This window comes from Homo sapiens, chromosome 7 (assembly GCF_000001405.40).
Source record: "Homo sapiens chromosome 7, GRCh38.p14 Primary Assembly".
Taxonomy (NCBI): domain Eukaryota; kingdom Metazoa; phylum Chordata; class Mammalia; order Primates; family Hominidae; genus Homo; species Homo sapiens.
The window spans coordinates 53,317,251-53,336,737 of NC_000007.14; the positions used below are offsets into that span (position 1 = coordinate 53,317,251).

At 36.0% G+C, this 19,487-nt stretch overlaps 1 annotated feature.

Annotated features, from left to right (window-relative positions):
• Positions 9,192 to 10,039: an enhancer, noted in NCBI's record as "OCT4-NANOG hESC enhancer chr7:53394135-53394982 (GRCh37/hg19 assembly coordinates)". NCBI's record gives its function as "activates a minimal SCP1, AML or CMV promoter by ChIP-STARR-seq in naive H9 embryonic stem cells {active_cell/tissue: H9 hESC(naive)}" and the evidence as "EXISTENCE:reporter gene assay evidence [ECO:0000049][PMID:30033119]".

The following is a 19,487-nucleotide window of genomic DNA, read 5'->3' on the forward strand; positions in this document are numbered from 1 at the left end:
CTTCCTAAATTTGGGCATCTTACTTAATTTAAAAATAGAAATTAGAAGATCTTGATAAAATCAAGTCAAATTAGCATCTATTGCTAGAAAATAACAACAGAAGATAGTTAAATGAAAAGGTGATAAAACCAAGTGCCATGTCAGTCAGTGCAAGCAAGGCGTGAACTAGATGGAATATTGCCTTGCAACATGATGTGGCCCCTGACCTTACCTATGTCCAAATCGCTAAAGTTATATTGAAAAGAGAGGGTCAGTAAAAGACAATTTCTCATTGATATTAAGCACATCATGGGGGAGAAACAGACTAAGGAATGGTGAAGTGGGTTGGAGAAAATAATGATGCCCACCACAGTAAATGGAGATTTTAGTTGAGGCAGAATGGGCCATCAGGGAGTCCATCTTTGCCCAATCCATCTGATTTGGAGGAATAATCCCATGGGAGCAGAATTCATCTCTAGGTGGATAAAAAGGACATTAAAGAAGCAGACCCGGCTGGGCGCAGTAACTCACACCTGTAATCCCAGCACTTTGGGAGGCCAAGGTGGGTGGATCACAAAGTCAGGAGTTCAAGACCAGCCTGGGCAATATGGTGAAACCCCGTCTCTACTAAAAATACAAAAATTAGCCTGGCATACTGGCGGGTGCCTGTAATCCCAGCTACTCAGGAGGCTGAGGCAGAGAATTGCTTGAACCCGGTAGGTGGAGGTTGCAGTGAGCCGAGATTGTGCCACTGCACTCCAGCCTGGGCAACAGAGCAAGACTCCCTCTCAAAAAGAAAACAGACCTTAAACAGCACCACGGCAGAAAAGAGCAGGTTACCTATGGTGGAGGTCACCCTACAGATATGGAAGATAACTCATTCTTGCCTCAGAATTTCTTACAGATCACTCAATGCCAGAAGAGTAGAGAATCACCTTTACGAAGAAACTCAGGAAATCAAATTTAATCTAATAATATTTATAACCAGTCACGTTGCTATATACCTCAAAGAAAAAAACAAGCAACAATAGCCAAATAAATCCAGCAAAATGGTACTCAGTTCCACTTCTTTAAAACAAAATAAACAAAAGATAATTAAACAACAACCCAAACATCCAGCCAATACAAAGTAAATCACAGGAAAATCTCAGGGATGGAGAAACTTTGGCAGAATGATCTAGGTGATCAGCATTGAGTTTATTTAACCATATTATCAAGACTACACAGCTAGAATGAAGTGTTCGGGCTTGAAGGTAAAGTTGTAATCTTATAAAAGTAAAATAATGAAAAACAGAGTTAACATGTGAAGAAGAAACAGTGCAGCCAAATTGAAGCATAGTTATGCAGTATTTAAGCAGCAGATCTTAATAATACTATAAGTAATTTGGAATGTTATAGAAAATGCTTTTACCACAACTCTTGTGGCTATATGTGCCTTTGTTGCTCTTATCTGGATTGTGGAAGCCAGTACGTTTTAAACATTCCTCCCAAATTTGTACCTTAAATGTCTCTGTAATGGGACCAGGATGGTGACTCATACCTGTAATACCAGCAACTTCAGAGGCCAACGCAGAGGATAGTTTGAGTCCAGCCTGGGCAACATAGCAAGACCTTGCAAAAAATTTACAAAGTAAATAAATAAATTTCTCTGTGACATTCATGTAGAATAATTATAATCGCGTAAGTCTAATTTTAAAATAGTGGTAATACTTTTGAAACACACAGATAAGAAAATTAAAAAGCAACTTCAAACATATATTAAAAATCATAAATCTGGGTGTGGTAGCTAACAGCTTTAATCCCAGGACTTTGGGAAGCCAAGATGGGAGAATTACTTGAGCCCAGGAGTTCAAGATCAGCCTGGACAGCATAGCAAGACCCTGTCTCTGCAAAAAAAATTAAAATTAGCCAGGCATTGTAGTGTAAGCCCATAGTTCAACCTACTTAGGAGACTGAGGCAGGAGTTATCAACTGAGCCCGGAAATCCAAGGGTGCAGTGAGTTATGATCATACCACTATAATCCAGCCTGGACACCAGAGCAAGACTCTGTCTCTAAAATAATAGTAGTAATAATAATAATAGTAAAAACACAGACAGAAAGGGAAAAATTCTCTAAAAATTGGTTTCACACGTTTGTTTGTGCAAAAGTTATGGTATAGAGGTGATTTTTACTCTAATAATCATGTTTTAAGGAGTTAAAATGTACTTTCACTTTTATTTCCACTTCACAATTACTATTGAGTAATCTGAGAAAATTCCAAAAATAGAAGTAAAGAAAAAAATATCGAATATTAAGCACACCAAGACAAGCCACCAGAGTGAAAATAGTGGTCCCTATATCTGCCATCTCAACCACAGATAGTTTTCTTTTGAGTAGAATAATAGATTTTTTCTAGCAATTTTTTAGTATCTTTTCAAATCCAGAAATACTCTTCTGTAACTATCCTTTTAATATTTGAATAGAAACCAGTCTTTTGAATATCAATTTGTTTTTTTATACTGTTAGCAATTTAAACTATTTTCACATTTTCTTACCCTTGCTATTGTAGCACTGTATTTCTTTGTTAATCCCTGAAATATCTATTTCCCATCTAATATATCCCAGCTGTTTTTTAAATACTAGCGCTACAATGATGAAGAAGACACAAGCATGGCCCTGAGGACCTTCTAGCACAGTAGTTAATTAAACGCAGAAAACGGAATGGTGTGAGAAGGGCCTCCATAGAATTTTGAAACCAAGAATCAGAGATTTTTTTTTTCGTGTGTTTTTACCTTTAAAACCTGTAAGCTAGTCCTGCAATGGCAATGCCATAAGGGGCTGAAAACACTGGAATTCACTGGTGAATGGATACAAGAATAAATGTATAAATGAATGATGGGGGCAATATAAAGTGCTGGGAGCAGTCATTTGCTTGTTTGTTTTCATATTCAGAAATTTATATTTGCTACTTTTATTTGAATATTGTTCCATTAAATTTCTTCTCCTCCCTCTCCTTCTTCACTTTGTTTCTCCTCTTCTCCTTCCTTCTTCATTCTGATAACTGGCTGATTTATTTCTTTTCATGAACTGTAAGGTCACATGTTTTCCCATTATCCTACTGGGCTTTTATCACAATATCAGTGTTTTGTTAGGATCTTCACGCAACATATTAATCACTTCTCTGAAAATATTTGTGCTATAGTGTGTCCTTTCACTTTAAACATGTTTCTTCATCAATTTTTTATACAGATTTTTTAACATTCTATTCAGTCAGTGGAAGAAAAATTAAAATCTCGTGGAGGCTATCAAACATTTCTGTAATATTTGCCATGATGTCACGCTGAAAAAAATCCTTTTTTACCACAAGTTTTCGTAAACGTGGATCTATTACCTCCATGATTTATTTTTATATTAAATTTTATGATTAGTTTTGAAATTTTAGAATAAACTAGAGATCTAATTCCAACCATTTCTGAAATCTTAACCAATTAGTGGAGTGTGATTAAGAAACGAAAGCATCTAATTTCTCTATGGAATGCCGCTTTGTCTCTCCATCCTTCCATCTGTCATTTATCTCTGTCTGTCTCACTCTAGTGGACAGTACTTGTGCATTGGAAAACTATTACACCTTAAAATATTAATTTACTTTTGTGGTTAGTCAATTTACTGAAGACTTACATTCATTTTTATAGATTTTCATATGTCTTTCACGAAGTCAACAAAATTATATAAAAACAATATTTCTCTTTTTCCTTCTGACAGTTGCATCAAATGTTTTCATTGACTGATATTTATAGTAATTAGAAGTTCTTCAACAATACTGATAGTTTTGCTGATAAATATGCATTTTTAATTGCTTATTTTAATAATTATAGGTCTACTTTTATACTTAAATAAGATACTAGCATTTGACTTAAATATCCTTTATTATCCTAAAGAATTATTATTTCCAGTTTCCTAAAGCTTAACATATTTAACATCGCATTTAAAATTGAAGGTTCAATTTTAATTTCTTTTTTGCAATTGCTATAGCATTTAGTAGAAAAATATTTATGATTTGAATGACTTTATTGTCAATTGTGTCTATAAAACATTAATATCCTCTGTGCCTCATTTAATGTTTCAGAATGAGTTCTTTTTTTACAATATTTGCTGGTGATGTCTTAAATATTTTGTGTCACTGTTACAGACTCTCTTTAGTTAACTTGTTTAGCTCTCTTTAGAGCTAAAAGTGTTGTGTTTTAATGCAATTCAATAATCTCTGTCAATTCGTAAGAATAGAGCATTTTAATTGATTTAAATGTACTCTCATAATTAAATAATATTCTCATTTTTGTCATTTTGCTTCATGCTTTTTTATGCTTTTAGGCTATATTTCTGTTTTGTTAGTTCAATACACATTTTTATTTGCATATTTTCATATGTATACGTAAAGGCCAAGGGAAACCCTTGGCATTCTGAAGTTTCTCTGAAAAATTAACTCAGAAAAAGGCATATTAATTGGAGAAAAGGCATTCAGATTTATTTAATTTGTATACACGGGAGTCTTCGGAATGAAGGCACAAAGGCACAGGGGAAATCGTCCATTTTTATGCTTAGGTTTAACAAATGTGGAGATCTGTGTAGAAATGTGATTGGACAAAAAACGATATAATGTGATACTTGTAGACAGACTGGGGAGACCCAGCAAGGCCACCTGGATTCTTTGAGCCTCCAGAGTATGTACTCCTTTCTTCTGGACATATGGTAAGGCAGTCTCTGCAATGTGGGGATCTTATGATGTACAGTCAAAAATCATGGGTGAGATAATTTCTTGATGGACAGTTTTTACACAGATACGACAGAGGAAATCTTAGAGTAATATTTTTAGGCTTTATGGTTGGCTTTGGGGAAAGGAATTCTGGTTTCCAGGGCTTGCCTTAGGGGAAAATGGAGCTAAGGAACAGGAGGCAGGAGGGCAGAGAAAAACTCTTGCTTGTGACTGCTGCTAAGGCCGTCATTATGCATACTGTTTTCTGAGCCAAAACATATACATATGTTTTTAGCAACCTCTTCATAATAGCTGAACACTGGAAATACAGGAATATCAGCTGATAGTGGGTCCGGAATTTATTCCTTCCGGTGGGTTCTTGGTCTTGCTGACTTCCAGAATGAAGCCACAGACCCTTGCAGTGAGTGTTATAGCTCTTAAAGACGGTATGTCCTAAGTTTATTCCTTCAGATGTTCAGGTGTGTCCGGAGTTTCTTCTTCTGGTGGGTTCGCAAGACCTCAGGAGTGAAGCCACAGACCTTCGCGGTGAGTGTTACAGCTCTTAAAGGTGGCTCATCTGGAGTCGTTTGTTTCTCCCAGTGGGTTCATGGTCTCGCTGACTTCAGGAGTGAAGCGGCAGACCCTCAGACCTTCGCGGTGAGTGTTACAGCTCATAAAGGTAGTGCAGACCCAAAGACTGAGCAGCAGCAAGATTTATTGTAAAGAGCAAAAGAACAATCCTTCCACAGCCTGGAAGAAGATCCCAGTGGGTTTCTACTGCTGGCTTGGGTGGCCAGCTTTTATTCCCTTATTTGACCCTACCCACATCCTGCTGATTGGTCCATTTTACAGAGTGCTGATTGGTCCATTTTACAGAGTGCTGATTGGTGCATTTACAATCCTTTAGCTAGACACAGAGTGTTGATTGGTGAGTTTACAATTGTTTGGCTAGACACAAAAATTCTCCAACTCCCCACTTGACCCAGAAGCCCAGCTGGCTTCACCTCTCAATAGCAGAAGGGTTGAGAAAATTGCAGCATATTCAGGCAATGTTATACTGAAAGAAATGAAACTGGAAAATAATTATCTAGGCCACACAAGTTAATAAAAACTACTTATTTCCTTTCAATATATTCCATAATTGTTGGTTGATACATATTGTTGCTTCATATTTGTCTTTTATCTTTCTTCTTAAATTTATTGATATTCTTATGATTTTGTAAAGGTAACAAATAGTGTCCTACTATACACATTGGAATAGGATTTATTTAATGCCCGCCACCTTGTGGTTTTAATATATATTAATATTTTCTAGTTAGTAATAAACTTCATATTTTAATTTTTATGACCACTCCTCCTCATGACAATAACAATAATAATAATAATAATAATAATACCTTCACAGTGTTTCCTGTATAGCAGACCTCTTACAAAATTGATACAGATGATCCTTCTCAAAACTCTACTCAGTAAGGATACGTTTATCCCCCTTTACAAATGAGGCTACTAAGGACAGAGAGGTTAAATAACTTGACAAAATTACACAGTGAGCAGGGATGGAACTAGTTGCTAGAGATGTAACTTATGATAATTAAGCGAAGATGTTTATAAAGCACTTTAATAATCAAAATGGTGGATTATTTTGTCTGGCAGATGATCTATAATGGTCTTATTGCCATTCCAAATAATTTCCTACAGTTTTGTGTCACCCTGAAGCTAATGTTGCTCTATCTTAGAACCTATCTACAAATAAACCTGTTTGCCTTCAATATCTCTGTTAAAGAGTCATTATTATATTAAACTCCTCTGCATTATACTATGCAAATTCTAAATGCACTTCCCACATAGTGGTGAAAGTAATTTGTTTTTATGGTTGCTTAGATTTGAAACATAAAGTGTATTATTTTATTAATCCTCATAATATCTCCATGAGAAAATTAAAAATGTTATCTGTAGTATATTCAGGAAAATATTTGTATAAATAAATGTTATCTAAAATCCTCAGTAGATAAAAACATTTAGAAATTGGAAACGGTTTATTTTCCATTCATAAGAGAATTGTAGAAGTTGGATATCAAGGGAATATTGTTATGACTAAAGATGTATTTATCAACCAGACTGTTTTATTTTTTAATATTTATTTATTTATTTATTTATTTATTTTTCAGATGGAATCTTGCTCTTTTGCCCAGGCTGGAGTGCAGTGGCACAATCTCAGCTCACTGCAAACTCTGCCTCCCAGGTTAAAGCGATTCTCCTGCCTCAGCCTCCCAAGTAGCTGTTACTACAGGTGTGCTCCACCAGACCCAGCTAATTTTTGTATTTTTGGTAGAGATGAGGTTTCACCATGTTGGCCAGGCTGCTCTTGAACTCCTAACCTTAGGTGTTAGGAGTGATCCAACCACCTTGGCCTCCCAAAGTGCTGGGATTACAAGCATGAACCAATGTGCCTGGCCTCAGATTGTTAGTTTTAGATATTCATCTATGAAACAAATATTTATCTGTAAGCAAAAATCTCTGCTCTTATGGAATGTATAACTTAGTTGGGGAGACAGACAATAAACAAATAGACACTTACATACTTAATACATTGGATGAGTTATATGAAGAAAACTCAAAGAGGAGAGGAGGAGATGTGACATGAGCAACTATGATAAAAATGTTCAACTTGTGCATATATGGGTGTACTGTCAACAGAAAGTAGGATGAAGTAGTTTATTTGAACATAAAACTTGAGGAATGTCATTCGGGAACACTGGCTCCAAATAAATGGGCAGTGTGATATGGTTTTACTTCGTCACCACTCAAATCTCATCTTGAATTGTAGTTCCCATAATCCCCCTATGTCGTGGGAGGGACTTGGTGGGAGGTAATTGAATCATGGGGCTGTTAGCCTCATGCTAGTTTCATGATAGTGAGTGTGTTCTCATGAGATCTGATGGTTTTATAAGGGGCTTTTTCCCTTTTGCTCAGCACTTCTCCTTGCTGCCACCGTGTAAAGATGGACATGTTTGCTTCCCCTTTTGGCATGATTGTAAGTTTCCTGAGGCCTCCTCAACCATTCCGAACTCTGAGTCAATTAAACATCATTCCTTTATAAATTACCCAGCCTCGGGTATTTCTTTATAGCAGCATGAGAATGGACTAGTACACAGTGTTACAAAATGAAGTTAAAGTTTCACTTACAAAGGTAGAGACAGAGATATTTTAACAGGATAATGATATTTCCCATGCAAGACCAGTGCATATGTGACAGAGATTTGATAGAGATTTGATCTGTTACAGACTGCTGCATTCCAAGGAAGATGACTGTATTACTTGTTAAGGAGAGGTAATCTGAGGAGTAATCTGAAGAGGTCTTATCTCTGACACCATTTGGTTTTCCTTATCGTTTACAGTAAAAAAAAAAAAAAAAAGGCAAAAGTTGGAGCTGCATGCTGCATGACTCAGGCTGCATAGCCACATTCCCCCCAAGGCTCAGAATAAAGTTCCAACAACTTTAAGGTGGAATTATTTAATTTCACAATACTAAATAATACTTAATTATATATACATGTACTCCAAATATTCTATCTTAAAATTAGAAAATGAACATTTTAACAGGGTCCACTTGACTAAATTTTGTATAATTCAATACCTTAACTTATTTTCTTGGGAATTATAAAAGCTTTTCCCTCAAAGAACAAAATTCAATTTCTTCATGTCATTTTTTAAGGAATATAGGTTATTTTTCTAAACTGTTAGAAATATTCAGAAATTATATTTTTAACAATAGGCTTGGTAAACACTTCTTGAGTGGGTAAATATTCAGCTAAGTTATAGAAAGGGTTTAGAAAATAACCACATTGTCTTCTTCCATTCCTCTGATCTGCACACACTAATGTTGGATTAAACAACCAAGATCTCTGAAAAATCAGAAATATTAAATCATTAAACCAGCAGAGTTACTAGATTCCTTCAAAACTAAATCTAAAAAGTTCATCCAACACACAGCTCTGAAATTTCCAAACACATAAAAGTGCCCAGACCAACTGAACCCAGACGACAATCGTTTTCCCATGTTGTGAAAAATAATTAGGTGATTTGCTGTTCTCATGAGTGCTATTTAATTCCACAAAATAGTGCTTTTCAAAAAGTACTTCTCTCTTTATTGCAATGTTTAAGGAACATCTGTTAAAATATCTAAAAAATATTTGAATTATGTAAGACAATTTATCACCAGCAAATGAATTATGAACAAATTTTAACTTACTGGAAATGAATTACAAGAAAAATAGAAAGTTTAAGATGTAGAATTTTTTAAGTATTAATTCTTTTCCTATCTCTAGCAAGGGTGAATTTGTACTATAATCTTGCATAATAAATTGTGAAACATTTCTCCTACATATTCAATCATTTAATAATATTTTTGGAATATATCACACAGAAATTTAGAAAACATCAATTATTTGTTATCATGACCACATTCCAAATGCATTGAGTTTTTAATTCTCATATAGAATTCCATGGTATGGATGTGCTACCAGTTACCTTCCCAGAATCCGTTGTTGGACTTTCAGGGTTTTTCTTTTTTTTTTTTTCAATTCATATAATGCCTCAAGTATAATTTTTGTATTTGCATTGAAAGAAACTAAACTATTTCACTCCAAAATATAATACTTCTGATATTTTGAGATGGCTGTTGAGGCGGCCTGCAAACAGAAGTATCTCTGCAAAGCTGTTTTTTGTGTATGAGTTTTGCTGATGCAGTCAAGCTTTCTGAGGTCCTACCTTTTACAGATCTAGAAAGATTAACGGAAAGACTGCCAGCTTTAACCGTCTGAAAGAAACAATGACCATCTATTCTGTCAGAGGGCTGCTACCTATGGAGTTACATCTACATAACAAGATCGCCTCTCCACCCCTTAACCTGTCTTGCCACTAAAATAGATTTAGCACTATAACCTCTTTTGTGTCATGCTTGGAGCCCGCATTCTTCCTGTAACCTTAGAGTGGTATAAAAGTGTCAACCATCTTGCCTTTCTTTGAGTTCTTATATTGTGTATGACTCCCGTGCAAGTTAAAAAAAATTGTAGGCCTTTTCTCCTATTAACCTGCCTTCTGTCAGTTGATTTTTCAGAAAACCCTCAGAAGGCAAAGGGGAAGTTCTCATTGGCCTCTACAGCATCAACAGACATTTGTAGAATAAATATGAAGATAGACTATTAGAAATAGACCTGTGCAGTAAAGAGATGTGTGTATTTCTGAATCTTATACAGGGCATTGTATTGTCCTCCAAAAAGCTCACACGATTTTACACTCATAGGAACTATGCATGACAGTACCAGTTTCTCTTTCCTTATTTACCACTGAAAGTGATAACTAATCTTTCTTATCTCAATGCATGAAAAATAATTATCCAAAATTTGTTTTTATGAAAGAATGAGTATCTTTATTAGCAAAAAAATTTAAACATTTTAACAATATTTTATACTACCAAAAGTGTCTTTTTTTTTTTTTTTGATAGACAAGGTTTTACTCTGTCACCTAGGCTGGAGCGTAGTGGCTCAGTCTTGGCTCACTGAACCTCTACCTCCCCAGCTCAAGCAATCCTCCCACCTCAGCCTCCCAAGTAGCTGGGACTACTGGTGTGTGCCGGCTGATTTTTGTATTTTTATTAGAGACAGGGTTTCACCATACTGGCCAGGCTGGTCTTGAACTCCTGGGCTCAAGAGATCTGCCCACCTCAGCCTCCCAGAGTGCTGGGATTATAGGCATGAGCCACTGTGCCCAGCCCTGGAAATGTCAATTTTTTTCTAAGTTTTGTCTGGTTACTTTTATGTCTTCATTTTATTATGCTTAAATCACTGGACCCCTGGAATTTATTTTGAAATAGATTAATGAGGGAGATGTATATTGTTAACAGAAAATAAAGTATTTAGAGAGTTTATTTTATTATTATACTTTAAGTTCTAGGGTACATGTGCACAACATGCAGGTTTGTTACTTATGTATACCTGTGCCATGTTGGTGTGCTGCACCCATTAACTCGTCATTTACGTTAGGTATATCTCCCAATGCTATCCCTCCCCCCTCCCCCCACCCCACAACAGGCCCCAGTGTGTGATGTTCCCCTTCCTGTGTCCATGTGTTCTCATTGTTCAATTCCCACCTATGAGTGAGAACATGTGGTGTTTGGTTTTTTGTCCTTGGGATAGTTTGCTGAGAATGATGGTTTCCAGCTTCATCCATGTCCCTACAAAGGACATGAACTCATCCTCTTTTATGGCTGCATAGTATTCCATGGTGTATATGTGCCACATTTTCTTAATCCAGTCTATCACTGATGGACATTTGGGTTGGTTCCAAGGCTTTGCTATTGTGAATAGTGCCGCAAGAAACATACGTGTGCATGTGTCTTTATAGCAGCATGATTTATAATCCTTTGGGTATATACCCAGTAATGGAATGGCTGGGTCAAATGGTATTTCTAGTTCTAGATCCTTGAGGAATCGCCACACTGTCTTCCACAATGGTTGAACTAGTTTACAGTCCCACCAACAGTGTAAAAGTGTTCCTATTTCTCCACATCCTCTCCAGCACCTGTTGTTTCCTGACTTTTTAATGATCGCCATTCTAACTGGTGTGAGATGGTATCTCATTGTGGTTTTGATTTGCATTTCTCTGATGACCAGTGATGATGAGCATTTTTTCATATGTCTGTTGGCTGCATAAATGTCTTCTGAGAAGTGTCTGTTCATATTCTTTGCCCACTTTTTGATGGGGTTGTTTTTTTTGTAAGTTTGTTTAAATTCTTTGTAGATTCTGGATATTAGCCCTTTGTCCGATGGAGTTGTTTTTTTTTTCTTGTAACTTTGTCTAAATTCTTTGTAGATTCTGGATATTAGCCCTTTGTCAGAGGAGTAGATGGCAAAATTTTTCTCCCATTCTGTAGGTTGCCTGTTCACTCTGATGGTAGTTTTTTTTGCTGTGCAGAAGCGCTTTAGTTTAATTAGATCACATTTGTCTATTTTGACTTTTCTTGCCATTGCTTTTGGTGTTTTAGACATGAAGTCCTTGCCCATGCCTATGTCCTGAATGGTATTGCCTAGGTTTTCTTCTAGAGTTTTTATGGTTTTAGGTCTAACATGTAAGTCTTTAATCCATCTTGAATTAATTTTTGTATAAGGTGTAAGGAAGGGATCCAGTTTCAGCTTTCTACATATGGCTAGTTTTCCCAGCACCATTTATTAAATAGGGAATCCTTTACCCATTGCTTGTTTTTGTCAGGTTTGTCAAAGATCAGATAGTTGTAGATGTGTGATATTACTTCTGAGGGCTCTGTTCTGTTAAATTTGTCTATATCTCTGTTTTGGTACCAGTACCATGCTGTTTTGGTACCAGTACCATGCTGTTTTGGTTACTGTAGCCTTGTAGTATAGTTTGAAGTCAGTTAGTGTGATACCTCCAGCTTTGTTCTTTTGGCTTAGGATTGACTTGACAATGCGGTCTCTTTTTTGGTTCTATGTGAACTTTAAAGTAGTTTTTTCCAATTCTGTGAAGAAAGTTATTGGTTGCTTGATGGGGATGGCATTGAATCTATAAATTACCTTGGGCGGTATGGCCATTTTCATGATATTGATTCTTCCTATCCATGAGCATGGAATGTTCTTCCATATGTTTGTGTCCTCTTTTATTTCGTTGAGCAGTGCTTTGTAGTTCTCCTTGAAGAGGTCCTTCACATCCCTTGTAAGTTGGATTCCTAGGTATTTTATTCTCTTTGAAGCAGTTGTGAATGGGAGTTCACTCCTGAATTGGCTCTCTGTTTGTCTGTTATTGGTGTATAGGAATGCTTGTGATTTTTGCACATTGATTTTGTATCCTGAGACTTTGCTGAAGTTGCTTATCAGCTTAAGGAGATTTTGGGCTGAGACGATGGGGTTTTCTAGATATACAATCATGTCATCTGCAAACAGGGACAATTTGACTTCCTCTTTTCCTAATTGAATACCCTTTATTTCCCTCTCCTGCCTGATTGCCCTGGCCAGAACTTCCAACACTATGTTGAATAGGAGTGGTGAGAGAGGGCACCCCTGTCTTGTGCCAGTTTTCAAAGGGAATGCTTCCAGTTTTTGCCCATTCAGTATGATATTGGCTGTGGGTTTGTCATAAATAGCTCTTATTATTTTGAGATACGTCCCATGAATACTAATTTATTGAGAGTTTTTAGCATGAAGGGCTGTCAAATTTTGTCAAAGGCTTTTTCTGTATCTATTGAGATAACCATGTGGTTTTTGTTTTTGGTGCTGTTTATATGCTGGAGTACATGTATTGATTTGCATATGTTGAACCTGCCTTGCATCCCAGGGATGAAGCCCATTTGACCATGGTGGATAAGCTTTTTGATATGCTACTGGATTCATTTTGCCAGTATTTTATTAAGGATTTTTGCATCGATATTCATCAGGGATATTGGTCTAAAATTCTCTTTTTTTTGTTGTGTCTCTGCCAGGCTTTGGTATCAGGATGATGCTGGCCTCATACAATGAGCTAGGGAGGATCCCCTCTTTTTCTATTGATTGGAATAGTTTCAGAAGGAATAGTACCAGCTCCTCCAATCCCACAGAAATACGAACTACAATCAGAGAATACTATAAACACCTCTACGCAAGTAAACTAGAAAATCTGGAAGAAATGGATAAATTCCTGGACACATACACCCTCCCAAGACTAAACCAGGAAGAAGTTGAATCCCTGAATAGATCAATAACAGACTCTGAAATTGAGGCAATAATTAAGAGCCTACCAACCAAAAAATGTCCAGGACCAGACAGATTCACAGCCGAATCTACCAGAGGTACAAGGAGGATGTGGTACCATTCCTTTAGAGAGGTTTATTCCGAGATAATATGACTGACCAGGACCTGGGGCAGAGTCACAAGAGGTCCTGAGAAAACCTGCTCAAGGTGGTTGGGTTGCAGTTTGGTTTGATACATTTTGAGGAGACAAGGGTTACAGTCAAAGACATCAAACAGTACATGGAAGATATACATTGGTTCAGCATGAAAAGGTGGGACATCTTGAAGCAAGGGCTCACAAGTCATAGGTGGTTTTAGGGATTATTTATTTGACAACTGGCTGAGAGAATTAAGATATTGTCTAAGGACTTGAAGCCAGTAGAAAGAAATGCTTGGGTTAAGATAAGGGGATTGTGGGAGCCAAGGTTCTTGTTACATAGATGAAGCCTCATAAGTAGCAGTCCCAAAGAGCATTGATGGTAGACATCGCTTTTCAGACATTAATGACATTAGACTTTCAGTTAATCACTCCTAGATCTGAGAAAGGCCTAATTGCATTAATGGAGGTTCCCTAAAGATGCAAATTCCTCCCCAAAAAAGACAGCTTTGCAGAGCCATTTCAAACTATGTCAAAGACATGTATTTGGGATAAAATATTTTGATATCCTTCACGGGCTTTTATCTGCGGTGTGATGCTGTACCAGCATTAAGATGGAAAGTCAGCCACATTATAGCCAGGTTAATAGAAAATCCATTTAACGAGATTTTATGTTTTTTTAGGGAATAACTGAAGCCTTGCCCAGCATGGCCTTAGGTCTTGTTGACAATTTGCTATCTTATGCCACAGAGAGTCTGTTCTGTCAGTTTCATGATTTCTATTTTTAACCTAGTCAGTTGTGCCTAAACTCCAGAAGAGAGGGAATATAACAAGGTTTGTCCAACCTCCCTTCTGGTCATGGCCAGGGACGACGTTTTTCAGGTTTCTCCAGGGTCCCCTTTGCCAGGAGGGGATTCCTTCAGTTGGTAAGGAGCTTAAGATTTCATTTTCAGTTTACAATATCTGGATTAGTTTTCATGTTGGTTGCCAGTATCCTGCAGTTTTTTACCAAATAAGCAAATTTTCCTACTTATTAGAACATCAAATTACAAAAAATTCCTTTGTGATTTGAAGCTATCTTTAAATTTTCTTGCCTGTTCTAATACTATGTCTGCTCCATAAGGTTTTAATCATTATTATTTCATAATTCATTTCAATATTGGATAGAGATATTTTCTCATCATAACTCTTGATTTTAGTCTTTCCTTAACTATATTATATTTTAATTTAATTTTGTGACATGTGTAGAAAATTTCTAGAGTAGATACCTGTTCACTATTGATTCTGGTTACATAAGAAATTCTGTGCATTTTTAGTCTTCTTTTATGCCTGTATATAAAATTTTATGGTTTTATTTTAAAAGATCTGCAAATTTTTATGTTTATAATTACATATTATTTATTTTTTTAACAGAAGCAATTTTCCAATGCAAATGCAAATTATATTTAATCTTTATAGTATATGTTCATATATATATATGGAAATGCTAAATTAAGGCTGCAGTATAGCAAAAATGACCTAATCTGTTAAACCAAAAATTAATTTTTAAGTTTGTCCCATGTGGTAGAAAATAAGATAGTCAATAAAATTACAGTGGGTAAATAAAATCAAGTTGTGCCCTCAAAGATCTTACAGTCTAACAGGTGAAAGAGATAAAGAAGTAAACAATGAAACATAAACACAAGACCTTATGAAAGAACTACAGCTTTTGTTGCCAACTCTTGAGCATTTTCAACTACTACACACATCCTCCCATTTCACAGCCATGCAGCTGGGTCTTGCAGTGCCCTGATCTGCCCATTGGAGTAGCCAAATTGCTCTCTTGCCCATGCTGCACACTCGTTAATTGAACTGGGAATGTGCCTCCATTTAAATTTACAGTATAGAGCAGAGCAGTGCACTATCATTCAGAAAAACAACAGCATTACTAAAGATGTTGGAACAAAATGTTCATGATTTGAAGTGCCTAGGAAACTGCCCAAATTTTTCAGTAGTGTTGGCTTAGTGTGTGCGGCTACAGAAAATGAGCCAGTGGAGACTGCCATGTTGATATAATCGAATGGATCATGAAAATGCTCATTGAAAATGCTCAACCCTCTTGTATGTGGGTAAGCTCCTCATATAATTTGATTGGAGAAATAATTCATGATAAATTTTTAGAAGAGTGAAATGGAAAGCAATGCTGTGACTAATACTTTGCCAGTATTCATAGTATTGATCTTTACAGTTTATTTAGAATTTTTCTACAGTTTAAAAAATTGAACAGGAAACCAAACACCACATGTTCTCACTCATAAGTGGGAATTGAACAATAAGAACACTGGACACCGGGAGGGGAACATCACCTACCAGAGCTTGTCGGGGGGTGGGGCAATGGGAGGGAGAGCATTAGGACAAATACCTAATGCATGCAGAGCTTAAAACCTAGACAAAGGGTTGATAGGTGCAGTAAACCACCATGGCACATGTATACCTATGTAACAAACCTGTACATTCTGCTCATGTATACCAGAACTTAAAGTAAAATTTAAAAAAAATTGGAAATCAGAACAAATTATTAAAGTAAAAACATATTTTATTTATATATTTAGTGATTAGAAAATTGTAGTTTAAAAGGCATAGTGTTTTGAATAAAATTCCCACTTCTATAAAGGGATATGAAAGTAGGATTTTTTTAATATCATAGAAGTAGTAACAAAACACTATAGTGTCAATGACAAAGCATATCCATTTTAGGTGTTAAAGGTCTTTCTTTGCTATTTCCACCACGTACACTGATAGTTCTTATGTTCTTCCTCTCTGATTCTACTTATGCAATTGATAATAGCACTATAATTTCTCAGCATTTTCAGATCAATAAAAATTAAATTTGTAAGACTTTTATATGTGATAAATGTGTAATCTTTTCTATGTATAAAATATTTTATTTGAAACACAGTGTTCTTTGCATTTGAGGACCAACACTAAAGAAAATCCATACTCATATAAATTTTTATGTGCAATAAATCATACATTTCTATCTAAAAATCTATGAGATTAAGAAGACAATTTTCCAATATAGTAATAACCAAAATAAAACAATTTGCTCAATGTTTTGTTCTCATTGACTTTCATTTCTGTGGAATCCATAGAGCACTTTGAATACAATCAATTATAAAAGTAAATAATAGGGCAGCCTGTTAATACCTCTAACACTGTAGAAGTTATAAATAAATATCTTGTGTTCCAAAGCAAAATTGAATATTCTGTTTATTGTGGTACACAAAGCTGTCTAATATATGAAAAGAATCTAAAACAATGCATTAATATGGTGTCTATTTTCTATATCTTATCGGGAGTGTTGATTTATCTAGAGCAGAAAGTGAAATTTCCAATTTTCACTTCCAAGGTCATTCATGTTTAGATGTGCCCTTCCCTTTGAAATAATTTTTCATATCACAGTATAGGCCAGGACAAGGCTTTTAATTTGCAGAGGTGAAACATTTGTTTCTCAACTTAGTAGAAAGTTACATCTAACTGAAACCATTATTAGTGAAAGCATAACCTGAGAAATGAAGCCACATGGGCTCTTCCTGTGAGAGACACCTTAGGCATTTGCCAGAAATAATCAATCCAATCTGTACTTTGAGGCAGATCTTAGGTTTTGCAATGTTTATGGCATATATTTTGAACTGTATTTTTTTCTGAATTTTGTTAAGTGAAACAATGTCTAAGTCACTTATTTCTTTGTTTTTAAATGTTATGTTATTCTGGCTGTACTGTTGTTTGTTTCTGCCTATGCACTCAAAAGCTGCCTTCTATTTTTTTAATTTGTTAAAAAATTATTTATAGTAAAATAATAATAACCACTTATTTGCAAGACTAAGTGAAAAATTAGTCTCACCACCTTTGACTCAAGTCAATTAATTGACAGTGCCAGCCCCTGAGGGGAAGGGTCCCAGCTCACCAGCTTCCAGGCAGCCCAGGTGATCAACAAAACCAGGTTCGGACAGCTTCCCTATTTGCATCACGACACTTCATTTTCTTCATCGTTAGAATGGTGCCAGTAACCTTACAGCATCATTGAAAAGATTATATGAGTTCATATACAAAGCAGGCTGAACAGTTCCTTGAATGTAGTGAAGTCTATCTGTGTCCATTAGAATTATTACCAATTTATTCTGTGAAACATATCAATCATCCCAGGAAATTGCCCAGTCAGTTTACATATAAAATGGATACAAATACCAGTGCATTTAATGGAATGTATTTTCTATATTTAAAGACAGTGAAACTGTTGATCTATCAACCACACAGTAGAATATTTGTTGTAAACAGTAACAGAGACTGCATTTTAGTGAAATGAGCGGGGCTTTAAAGTTCAAGGGACTAGCTTTGCATGAAGTTTGTGCCACCTACTACTCAAATGTCTTTGGGCAAGTTACTGAACCATTGTGAGTCTCAGTTTTTTAATCTTTAAATTATATAAGACTTACATTCTGAGGCCATTATGGTATTATCTAATTTTACCATGAAAATGACCTCAGGATATAAGAGGTAGAGAGTTCAATGATGGTCACCAGAGGCTGGGAAGCATTGTGGGAGAGAGGGATAAAGATGGGATGGTTAATGGATATGAAATTACAATTAAATAGAAAGAATAAGTTGTAAAAAAAAAAGAGAGATAAAACAAAATAAAATGTAGATGTTTGGTGACTAGAGTTAACAAAAATAATTGTTTATTTCAAATAACTAAAGGACTAGAACTGAAATCTTCCTAACACAAAGAAGTACTAAATGCTTGAGGAAATAGATACCCAATTGCCCTGATTTTATCATTACATTTTGTATGCTTGTATCAGAATATCATATTTACTTCATAAATATGTATAACTATTATGCATCCATAATAATTAAAAATTAAAAAATCAAAAATTAGATAGTACTTAAATGTTGTCTAACATATTATGGTTACTTACTTAATGCTAATTTCTTCCCCCATCATGCACAAGATGAATAGTCTTCTTATGTGTGAAGTTTATTGAAAACAAAAATTAGAATTTATTTGATTTTAAAATTGCTTAAGAAGCCAGAGTCTTTGGCTCTTTAGTTGATTCAGCTGTCTGGTGGAGTTCCTTAGAATCAGAGTAGCATTATTGCTTGTAAATTTTTTATGAGATTGAACTTACTTACATAACAGATGCTGTGGCATAAAACTATAATGCTAATAGTGAATTATGCTCCATTTCAGAGGCATTCAGCAGATATAAGCACTTTTGAGTAGGGTGTTTTGTACTTGATAGCATTCCAGAATATTCAACCAAATCATCTAATGGTTTCTGAACTTGTTAATTTTGGGGTCAGAACCACTGCTCGTGAAGCTTGAAGGGGATACCAAGGCACAGACCTTTACTGCTCTCTATAGAGAACACTAATCCCCTCTTAAGGAAACATACACACACACACACACACACACACACACACACATGCACAGCCCAGTTAAAGACTCACCGGCACGTGTGACAGCAGACTCTCTTCCGGGATGCCCCCTGGAGAAGTGCAAGCTACGATGGAGAATGGAGTCACTAAATGAGCACAGGGTTCTCTGTGGCTGGAGTTGCCCTCAATGCCAGCGCTGCACTGACTGCAGCCTTGAGCAGGTCTCGCCTGCACTGTGGCACAGGTCTCTGGCCTCCAGCCTGGTTTTGATCACATTGCCTTCACGTTGAGCTCATGTGCTGCCAGCCTCCAGCACTTCACTTTTCTTCTAAGACCAAAAGCATGTTCCTTCATGTAGTGGGATCATACACATTAAAATTTAGGCACCATAAATTGTAGTCTCTAAATCAGGACACCATTGAGAGTAAAATAGGGTACTACCAAAAATCGCTCCAGGACAACAGGAGCATGCTAGGCTGTTGTGA